At 39.0% G+C, this 12,246-nt stretch overlaps 1 protein-coding gene across 12 annotated transcripts in view; it reads right to left on the reverse strand.

Moving 5' to 3' along the window:
- Window positions 1-12,246, reverse strand: part of SAMD12 (sterile alpha motif domain containing 12) — a 490,139-nt gene that overhangs the window by 446,799 nt on the left and 31,094 nt on the right. For all 12 annotated transcript variants that reach the window (NR_146234.2, NR_109794.3, XR_007060733.1 and 9 more), the window contains one exon: window positions 2,092-2,270. Coding sequence is in view for 8 of the 12 variants with exons in the window: in NM_001349811.2 (NP_001336740.1) it covers window positions 2,092-2,270 (179 nt within the window). In the remaining 4 variants the exon portion in view is untranslated. Of the gene's footprint in view, window positions 1-2,091; window positions 2,271-12,246 lie in introns of those variants that run through there.

Here is a 12,246-nt window from a genome sequence, read left to right on the forward strand (position 1 = left end):
TGTACCTGCACAAAACAAGTTCATGTTGTCTAAGGTACAAAAGCTTCAGGGTCAGTCATGCTGCTGGCATCCACAGTAATCACACTGTAGTAATTTTAACTGTTCCCCCAGCAGCCACTGTTGTTTCCTCGTCCTCCATTTAAACAACTGGACAAATTCTTTGTCTAAGCTTTCTTTACTAAAGCCTCTAGTCTGTTCACCCCTAAATATGATGGCAGTGTGAAAAACCCAGAATCTCCTTTCAACCTCATTTGTTGGGGATGGGTGTTCACTGTAGATGATTTGCATAAACTCAAATGAATCTGGTTTCCAATATTAGTTTGTTCCAGAAGAAAGGCACATTATACACATCCACACTCATTGAAGTATGTTTTCAGCAAAGGAACTATAAAATGCTTCAGAGGCAAAGACACAAAATTTCAGGATTCACAATTCACATATTCAAGATAATCAGAAATAAAATCATATCAGATTTGAGTCAAATTTTGTATATTACCAATATCTTTACAAATATAGGAGATACACACTAGAAATGTTTAAAGTTGAATTTAAATCAGACAAATATCAATAGTTAACTTTTCTCTCTACTCTAATTTTTAATATTTTAGGCATCCTTTGGAAAATATCTCACTCATAGAAAGTCTGTTTATCTTCCTAAAGAGGACCCTTAAGGCGTTTTTTCCTGGCTCTTTCAAGATGCCCATGTATTGATCAGGTTTAGCTTTCTTAACAGGGTTCACTCATTTCCAATGTTGTTCACAAACCAAACTTCATTGATCATCAGCCAGTAAATATCCTATGAGTTGCCATTTCTCTTAGCTAAAATGTCTAGCGTAAAATGCCTGCAATATATATCTTGGTAATCATTCCCCATTCCCTACCACACACACATACTTAATGTCAACAATTTTTAATTATCCACACTAAAGAAGAGAAGCAATAACAGTAATTATTCCAAACTGTACATAAAGCAAAAAATTCACATCTGATTTTGGAAGACATTATTTGGAGGAGAAGGGAGGTGGTTATTGTACAACAGTAAGGTGACCTTTTTCCTTAAGATTTTTCTTAGGTGCTTACAACATTTGCTTTCCAAGGCATGCATACATTCATTTGCTCAACCAACATTTGAAAGGAAATTGTCTTGCAGGGAATACACAAAGGGAGAAACAAAACTATATGAAGATTAATTTCCTCAGTGTCCAAGAGGAAAACTAATATGAGTATCTTCAACAACACTGTGCCCCCAACATGAACATCTGCACTGATTTCAGACAAATATCCAGATAGTGCCAGTCCCATTGTAGGGAGCCTTTAGAAGAGGCTGTCCTTACTAAAAAATTACCTACCCCACAGAATCCAAGTTTCTGTACTTCTTCACCAATGCCTATTTTGTCAGTTCTCTGTTACCTATGTTTAGGTTAAAGACTGAAAAGAACTAAGCATACTACAGCAGAATAAAATAATTTTCTCTTTCACTACTTAGGGTTCTATTTACTATTGTCTACCTCACAAGATTGTTACAGGGACACAATAAGTCAATAGATCAAGAGTCCTTCAAACAGTACCTGGGAGATACATGCATATTTAATAAAATATCAGCTATTACTAATTAACAATACCTGTAAGCACAAGCCTCTCATACTCATGCAGTACTGGGGCTTTTATAAAATGCTTCCACAAGCATACAATCGTTTGATCTGCTCAACCTGATGAGAGAAGTCATTTTATGATTCCCTTGTGTAGATGAAGAATCTGCAACTCAGAAAGTCACATGACTTTCCCAACACCATAGAGTGGTAAGTCTGAGCCTGGCAGGTGAATCTTTTAGCTTCAAGTCCAGGGCATTCTTCTCTATAACCTCAGAGCCTCACACTATGAGACTGGCCACAAACGTGTTTCAATTTTATTCCAAAGGGAATACAGTTAATATTTTCATTTATAATTATTTATCCGCAAGATACAGTGCTCATTTGACCACAGATACAATGGTAATTAGTGAAAGCACTATCAGCTCTTCTCTGTAGCTGGACTACAACATATAAAGGCTGCAGCTTTCAAATCTCCGTAATTAACTGGAATATTACGCACCTTAGCCGTCTCAGCTTCTGCCTGCAGTCGCTTGGGAGTTCCTTTCTGGTCAGGCACCTTCTGGAAATTTTTATTTTTAATGGATTGAGATTCCACACCTTCACCTTCAATTTGCAGTTTAATACCTTCAGCATGGGCAGGGTGATCAATACCCCGTGGATTCAAACCACAGTGGAGAGCTAGGAAAAAGCAACAAATAGAACTCAGAAAACAAACCACATAAAGAAGGTGTCCATGACAGAAAATATTCATCAAGCCTAAGTAGGAAAAAAACGAGGCATCTATGAGTCGAGAGGTGGTGTGATTACTACGATAAATAATATGGTGAGGAGGGAGCACGGTATAGTGGGAAACCTTGAGCTTGGAAATCAGCAAGATTTAGGTACAAATCCAGAAGCCCTCAATTCCAAGTTGTTTGACTTTCAGCAACTTACAAATCCAAATGTTACAGATGAGAATACCAAATCAGGCAACGTTGTTACTGCTTCCCACACACGCAATCATGCAATTATTTCAACCCTGCAGTTTAGTTTGTATCTCTACCTCCATCTGAAAAGTGCTCACCCTCTCTTCTTCTGGACCTTCTTTATTATTTAGGCATCCACTCAAGTCCACTCTCTTGCATTCATCTAAGCAATATTTCTTAAGCACTTACTATGTGCCATCCCTGGGTTAGATCCTGGAAACATGGATTTACATATGACAGATGTTACCTTCAAAGAACTCACAATGTAATAAAGGAGGCAAACAAAAGGACTGGTGATTTTCAAACAGAACTGTCACTTCTACATGGCAAAGAAAAAAAAGCCAGAGTGGAGGGCTCAAGGGCATCAAGCCCAGTGGCTTCCAGTTTTTTGCATCTTACTCTCTCCATGCCCTGTAACATAGATATTCCACAAATAAAACCTAAAGCTGATTTTCTGGGGATATTTATTCATCTAACAAACGCTTACTGAGCCCCCCTATGTACCCTGTATTATCAAATAAATAGCAATGAATGTTGTAAGATCCATGCATTCCACTACATAAACCACCATGTATGTCTGTGTGCAGATGGCAGGTATGTGTGTTTTGACTTCTCTGGTAGTAAATTATTTCATTTCCCTGTTACCCCAACTCTTCAAATTCAGGTAAACTCCTATCCTCATCCCCTTTCCTTTATTCACAGAGAAGTTAAGGCCAGATACTTAATACCCCCATCTTCCCCAGGTCTCCACTTCATCAATAATCTTTTACCCAACATCTTTAGGCTTTCCCCTTTCTCAGCATTCTTCCCCTCCAGCCAGCTTCCGTGACTCAAAAAGTCCAACTCTCTATTCGGCACTCCATTTAGGCCATAGTTTCCTCTTTGCCTCATCTTTGCCAGGATTCTGATGAGTACTTTAGACCTGAGGGATGAGGCAGGCTTCCCAAAAGAAGTGAGGTGTTTTCCTCCCACTATCCACTCCCTCCTTAATAGATATCATCTATTCCTATGTTCCCAATCAACATTCTGGTGACTCCCAAATATTAACTGCAGCCTAGACACACCTTTCTTATGAATGTCAGACAAGTAAAACTGCAGCAGAAACAATTTGCCTGTTTCAGTCTTCGCAAGTTACACAGAAACTGATGAGACATCCTTAACATCACTCTATGATCCATCACTTTCCTTTCATCTATCAGCAAATCCAACAGCTCTACACCTAACATACTGCTCAAATATTCAATGATATTTCTTTAAAAAAACAAACTGATTGCACAAAGGTCCAAATGCACGTGATCTTATTTCTACCACTTTATGTGGACATTATTTATGAATTTCTCTTCTCCTAGTCTCTAAGCTTCCTATTTAGTGGTACACTCTGGGCACTTAACATGTATTAGTTCATACCTCCCTTTTGGGCTTTGTTCTGAATCTCAAATGATCTTCATGAAAAACTCTGAGACATAACTATGTTCATTTCACAGATAAGGAAAATGAGGCTCAAATGGGTTAGGTTCACAAAAGGGCATACTATACTGGTGTGTACAGAAAAGTCACAAAAATCATGGCCCATTTAGTATACACGATTTCATATTACACATGGAAAAATCCAAACTAGATTAAATGGTATGGAAAATTATTAGCTGACAGAACAAGAAGTCCAGTGATGGCACAAGTTCAGAATTAGCTGATTTGCATCTCGGTAGTTTCATCAAGCACTGTGCTTTTTTTTTTTTCTTTCTCCATTCTATTATCCATAGCACCGACTTTATCCTGAACCTGGGTCCCTTTGTAGCATCTAGACTACAAGCTTTAGTTTTCATCTTGAAGCAGAAAGGGCTTGGTTGACTATGGCTTTTTCTCCCAAACCTCCTTCAAATTTTATTCTCTTTTCTCATTGGCCAGGAGTGAATTACATGCCTATTACTGAACTAACATGCTGGCAGTGGAAATAGGATTACCCTTAAACCAACTGACCAGCTCAGGTCAATTCCCCAAACCACACTGCTGCTACTCAACAGGGCTGTAGCAGAATGGATGCTGGGGAACCAACAACAATGCCCACTTTAGGCAGTGCTGGAAAGAGAACTTAGTAGCCAAAGCCTCTGAGAGCTTGAAGCTAATTACTGTTATTATCAATCAGCTTCTCCATCTCCAAAGACTGGCCTACTTACAATGAATATTCAATTAAATACATCAAAGTTGTGATTATTTTTAAAAGGTGTGCTTGTGTAGGGAGATGGGGGATTGGCATGGGATGGATTCAGACATTAATGAAGAAAAGAAAAATGTGTAGCTTTGATCTTTCTGTCTAGCTTTATCCTCTGCTGCTTCCTACCTTGAAATTCATGACCTAGGAATACCACTGAACTGCTGGTAGACCTCCTATTCTCTTCCCCTATCACCTCCCCACCAAATTTGACTCTTATACTTCCTTCACCTCTGATCACGGTGGTCCCACCACCTAGAAATGCTGGTCCTACTCCAACCTAATCCTATCTCCTGCTCTTTGGGAGGCTAAGTCCTATTCACCTCATGTCAGCTCAGACCTCTTCTTCAGAAAGCCTTTTAGGAGTCTCTGGCTACCACAGCAAGAAACCATTCCCTATGCTCCCTCATGCACAGTCCCCTGGTGCTTCATTTTCCTCACAGTACTAAGAATGTCCATGTAATTGATCTGTCTGCCTTGCCCAGCACAACTGTAAGCTCCTGGAAGGCAGGTACCATCTGTTTTTCATCTCCATGACTTCCATTCCTGAGTCCAGGACCTGGCACATAAGAGACATTAAGGAAACACTTGTTCAGCTGCAGAATGAACCAGCAATTCCCTTCCTTTACGCAATCATGCCTTAAATCAGAAGAAAGCTTTTCTCTGCTAGTAAATACTTGGCATTCAAAATGTAAGGTATCTATAAACAGGAGGCAGAATACAGTTTTTTGACTTTCCACACACGTAGGCTTATTTTTCACACAAATATTTTAATCCTCCATAGCTGTTCCTTCCTCCACTGCAAACTCCCCAGTAGTTGATTTAGGTTTTTGTACTTAGAATTATTTATTTAAAACCATTTTTGATAGACTTTGCTTTGTTTTCCCTGAAATTTCATGTCCCTAATATTTACAAATCAAACAACTCTCCAATGGCCTCTTACAATGCATGACCTCCATCTCTTTGCTTGTGTCAAAGGTGTCCCCTTTTGATTTCTCTTTTTTGTGTTCATCACTGCCCTTTCTTGTTTTCCCTAAAGTTATTTACTTAATTTAATGGGCTTGGCAGCTCACTGGTCGGCTTCGAGACCCTCTTCTCGTTTCCCTAATCTTCACCACCACTCCTGTGCCTGACGGATTCCTAGTCATTGAACTGACACCGCAGGCAGCTTGTGGTCTTTATGGGAAGTGCTGCTGCTGTCACTTTTACTTAATTTGAATGTCATTAATATTGAATTCTTCAAAATGAAGAGTTAAAAACCAAAATGAATTTCACAAACATTGCTCTTAAAAAAATTTAAGAGAGAAATGTTTCACTGCAAATGCACATATTTTAGCATTGTTTTGAAATGCCCTTTTGAAGGCACCATGTTTTTTTCATGTGTAAAAACCTACTTCCCCAGAAAATTGAAAACCAGGTGCATTGCTGGTGGGAATGTCAAGTGATACACCCCCTGTGGGAAACAGTATGGTGGTTCCTCAAAAAATTAAACACAGAATTGTCATTTAATCCAACAATTCAACTTGTAGGTATACACACACACACACACACACACACACACACACAAACACACACACACAAACTGAAAGCAGGAACTCAAGATATTTGTATGCTCATGTACATAGCAGCATTATTCATAACAGTCAAACAGGCATAAACCAAATGCCTGTGGATGCATGAATGGATAAACACAATGTGATACATATAATGAAATATTTTGCGCCTATAAAAGGAATGGCATTCTCATCCATACTACAACATGCATGAACCTTGAAGACATTATGCTAAAGTGAAATATGCCAGACAAAAATGGACAACTATTGGACGATTCACTTATATGAGTTAATCAAATCTACAGAGAAAGAAAATAGAACAATGGCTACACATGGGCTGTGGGAGAGAAAATGGGAAGTTATTGGTAAGTTATGGGTATAGTGTTTCACTTTGGGATGATGAAAACTCTCTGGAGATGGATGGTGATGATGGTTATACAATAATGTGAATGTGCCTAATGCCACTGAACCATATAATTAAAAATGATTAAAATGATGAATTTAATGTATATTTTGTCACAATAAAAAAATAAAAACTTAAAAACCCCACTCCCTCTCATTTTAACTTCCCTAATACCTCCATAAATGGAAAGAGAGGTTCCAAAGATATTTTTATTCAAAGGTTTGAGAGTTTATTTATGAATAATATCATCGTGATTTTCATCTAGAATGTTATTTTATTTTTTAATAAAATGGTAAAAATTATAGCTCAAAAGTATGAGGTTACTTCAGAATTTTCCTGGAAAGGAAATGTTCTCCAAAACAGGTCTTGTCCTAATCAGCAGAAGCAGGGCTTGGATTGCTGATTGCTGGAAATGAGCCTGGGCTCTCCAAGGCTTAGTGGCTGAGGGATGCCATTCTCATGTGATTTAGGTGACAGTAACAGGCTACCTGGAATGAAGTGCCAGGCCTTGTTTTCTCTGCTCACAGTGATGCTAGAAGAGTTGAGGGGTGCATTGGCATCTGCTGTCATTCCCAAGAACAAGTGCATCTTAGTCTCCAGGAAGCCACCCAACTTCCAGTTCTTCCAATCTCCACCCACACCACTCTCTGTCATGAAACAAGGGATGGAGACTTATTAAATTTTAATGTTCCTCTATTCTGAGTTTTGCCTTGAATAGAGACACTGTGAAAACACTCCCAGTTGCCCCTCAGAATGAGCTGGCTCCCCAACCAAGGAACCCCCACATAGAAACTGCAAGCAGTGCCCTGAAATGTGTTGTGCTTCTCTACCTTGACAGAACTGACCTTTTACATCATATGCTCTTCCTTTCCCTTATTTGCATAGATAACTGCTTCAGGAAATATTAATTTTTCTCTTTTTTCTACTGTAAAGCTTTAACTAGTCTTGCACCCAGTATATCCTCTTAAGCAATAAAAACACTTCTCCTCTTTTTCTTTCTTTTTTTTTTTTTTTTGAGACAGTGTTTTGCTCTGTTGCCCAGGCCGGAGTGCAGTGGTGTGATCATGGCTCACTGCAGTCTCAACCTCGCAGGCTCAAGTGTTCCTTCCACCTCAGCCACCCAAGTAGCTGTGACTACAGGTGTGCACCACCACACCCAGCTAATTTTTGTATTATTTGTAGAGGCAGGGTTCTGCCATGTTGCCCAGGCTGGTCTTAGACTCCTGGGCTCAAGCGACCTGCCCACCTCGACCTCCCAAATTCCTGGGAACACAAGCATCAGCTACATTGCCCAGCCACCTCTTTTTCTTATATGATCTGTATGTGTGTGTATGTACCATGTGTTGCAAATATTTATTGACAGGTCTGCTAAATCTATGACTAGGAGCCCCCAGAAGAAGTGACTACTTCTTGCTGAGCTTTACAAATGTAGTGTGTAGCCACATAACTACCTTACAGTAGGTGCTCAATCATTGTTTATAGACTGAGCATAGATATGATGGAAAGATACTGATTGAATCCTACTCACTGCCATTCGGTACTGATGCGTAACATATATTTTTCAAAAAAGCAAATAAAAGTTGCTTCCAATCTAATTGTGTAATTCACCAAAAATGTTAAATCACAAAACCATAAAGCTATCCTGAAACTACTGATTTATTTGACTGCCATCTGCAAAGCAGAGACTATCTTATTCATCTTTGCACCTGCAAAGCCTAAACAGTTGTACATACTCAACCCTCAATAAATGTTGCTAAATGAATCAGTGACCTTAAAAACAAATATACTCCAATCCCCACCATTAGTTATTAGAATTGAGATAGGTTATTTCAAATTTCATGTTTATGTCTTGCTTCTAGCTAAAGTTCCTGAAGGAGATGGTCCTTCTTTAACACTTCCCTAATATAATATACACATAACACTCTCCAATATGTTTAATTCATTATATTAATTATTATAGGTGCTTCATTTATTGTATTCTGGATTCGAATTCAGCAGAGACTACCCTCAAGAAGTAATGTGAACATCACAAAAAGTCTGTAACTCTTTGTAGCAGACACTTCTGATGGGCTACACATTCTCAACACTCTCATTTTTGCCACCTACTGAAGTATGGCTACAACGCCAATAGCAAATTTCACAGCTTCCCTTGCAGCTACAAGTGAGGTTGATGACAGATTCCTCCCTAGGGCACATAAGCAGAAGTTTGATGGGAAACAAACAGTTCTGGAACTGACAAAAGAGGAAAGATCTTAACATCACTCTTCCCCTTTGTCTCTGCCTTAAAGGCATATGTGATATCTAGAACTGCTACAGTACATGCTGTGACCACAGGGCTACAAAGATGAAAAAAAGTCAAGAGAATAATAGTCACATTGGCTCTGACATCATTGGGCTACTCGAACTTTGTTCTTCATTATTCTCCTCTGGACTTGAGAGTCTGTGAGAAAAGTAATTCTCTGCTTATTAAGCCATGGTTAGTCGTGTCTTCTACAACTTTCAGATGAACCCCTGCAAAATGACACATTTCCATTTTAACCAATAACATAGGATTGTTTAGCCCTTCTTTTTAAAAGAGAAAACAGAAATCCTAGTAAAATGTTCTGGTCTGGGTTTCACAGCTCCTATTATGACTTAGAAAGCTGAATAAGTATAGTATGAATAACAGATATACCTTAGGAATATACCTTAGGAATACATGTTATTATCAGTAAACTCTGACATCAGAGGTAATCAATCCAGATGACACTCTGAAGACCTGAGGATGAAACTTTCTTGCTTAGCTGGGGTCCTAAGGTACCCAGAAAAGTGCCCAGATCATTCATGAAAACTTTTGCATCAATGAATGGGGATGGGAATGTGTTCCTGTGTGTCTGGTCATTAATGTGTTGACATAAAAATACAACAACTGTACCAGAAAGTATGTCTCAGGAACACAGGCTTGGTTTAGCTAATAGAAAGGGAGCACAACATCTCCTTGGGCAAAGGAAACTGCCCAGCAGATATCTTCTAGGACAGGGGTCAGCAAACTATGGCCCATTGACCAAATCCATCCTGCTGTTTGTTTTCATGTGGTTTGTGACCCCAAAATAGTTTTTACATTTTAAAGTGATTGGAAAAAAACATTTTATGACACATGGGAATTACATGAAATTCAAAGTTCAATGTCCATAAAGTGTTACTGGAAAATAATAAATGAGGCATGCTCATTTATCTATATAGTGTTCATGTCTGCTTTTGTGCTACAATGGCAGCAGTGAGTAACTGTGACACAGACCACGTGGCCTGCAAAGACTGAAATATTTACTGGCTGGCTCTTTGCAGAAAAAGTTTGCTGGCCCTTGCTCTAGGGTAGAGTATAACCATAACCTGAAGGGCACTGGGACCTGATAACCCCAGCCTCCTTTACTCTAGCAACATCAAGGAAGAACTTATGGGTCTTTGCAGGACTAGCCTCTGACTTATTCTGTACTTCCCCACTCCCAGCTAATTTAAATGAGCTAAATTATGCTGAATTTTATCACTTGGGTCAGGCAATGAGGAGACAGAATATGATTTCCAAATTTCTCCTTGGTCAGCTAAATGTGATATTACATATACTTGCTGAAGCTTAAAATTTCTATAGAGGTCTTTTTCCCACTATCAAAAACAGGGGTAAAATATAAATGTCCAGAAGGGTAATTCAGCAGCATTAAAAGCTGAACATGTCCACCCCCAGCAAGTCTAAGTGGCCAATAATAGATGGCTCCCCTATTCCATGCAAGAAGAGACTGGAAAAAAAGAAGTTATTACATCAATGAGAAAGACAGGGGAAGAAACTAAATGGAAACTGAAAGACTGAACCCACAAAACTCGTGCTATTGTCCTCACAAATCTGCCCACAGTAGCCTGACAATGATGATGTGGCTGCCCAAGCTGGACCTACATGACTGTTCAGCACAGCCAGACGTTCAAACCACATGCAGCAGTGTAAGGACATGGTCTTCTCTGGGCCCCACGATGCTCACTCACTCTGGTTTACTTGTCTACAGAAACAATTTCATCTTTGTAAAAACAGTTCGCTATAATGGAATCTAGTTTTCCAAAGACTACTTAAGTTTAATCACCACATCAAATATTCACTTGTCCTACACTTGATACATAGACAACCTAAAACAATGGAAATTAAAATAATGCTTAACTTAGGTATTGCAGAATCAGTAAAGTGGGGACAGACTTTAGAAGATGTCCAAGGCATGAATATTAACTCTTCTCATTCATGAGGAGAATACAAGGGCAGACACATGCAGAAGTTCTATGATGCTTTAGACAAGGGATTCAGGTATCACTTTGAGAGATTGATAAGTGGTCTACACTGGTGACTTTAAAAATATTTTTAACTATGATACTACAGAAAGAGATTTCACATTGTGAATCCATGACCAATCATCTTTATGTATATGAATTGAACCACGTTTTTATGAAATATTACTTTCCTTTACTACATATCATCTACTCTTTATTTTTTTAAATAAAGTAGTTCCTCTTGCATCCTTCAGGGAAGAAGAAATAGACATACTTTTCTCCATTCATCCCACTTAGTAAAGTTAAAAATGATGGACATTATATATGAGACAAACATAAGACAACTGAATGGTAAAGAGAAGGAAGACAATCTAAAGACCTTGAAGGACCTTGAATAATCTGGTGGTGAGTTCTCTCAGCTTCCTTTTGCCTCGTATATCCCAGACTTAGAACTAAGAAACCTGCAACTTGGGAAGAGCTATGGGCACAGAAAAAAAATAATATACAAGAGCTTGCTCTCTGTAACCAAAGGACCAGGAAAGAGACAGCCTAGCAAGGTAGGAAACATGTAGATAATAACTGCTTTACTCAAACATTACAGAAAAGAAATGTGACCCAACCACCACATCAGTAAAGGCTGATTGTAAAGCCTAGACTCACACCCTCACCAGGCTGCACTTAGGTACCCCAATACTCCCAGGAGAATGCCATAGAAGGCCAAGTAGGGAGTCCAGGTTTCCATCTCTGTCAATTGGTAAAGAGGGTACCTCCTCATCTCCAAAATGTCAGCTGAGATGATATGGCAAGGCTGGATTTTCACCTCTACCAGTTTATGAGAGGTGAGCCTTCCTTCCTGCGATTGTGTCAGAGGAAGTCTGGTAGACAGGACTTTCACTATTACCCAGCCATAAGGAAGAAGTCCTACCTTTCAGGTATCAACTGAGATTGAGCGGGGAACCTGGATTTATAACTCTACCTGGCAGTAAGTAAGTGGTATCTCCTCTTTTCCCTGGCCAGACTGGCATTTTAAAAAGCTAGCTGAAATAAAAGGTTTAAATAAAATCTAGAGTCTCATAACACAACATGTAAATATCCAGGTTTCAATAGAAAATCACTCATAACCAGGAAGATACCAAACTGAAAGACAAAAGACAATCCATAGACACCAACATCCAGATGACAGAGACATCAGAACTATCTGAGAAAAATTTTAAAGCAGCTATACTAAAAATGCTTCACT

Source organism: Homo sapiens, chromosome 8 (genome assembly GCF_000001405.40).
Source record: "Homo sapiens chromosome 8, GRCh38.p14 Primary Assembly".
NCBI classification, from domain to species: domain Eukaryota; kingdom Metazoa; phylum Chordata; class Mammalia; order Primates; family Hominidae; genus Homo; species Homo sapiens.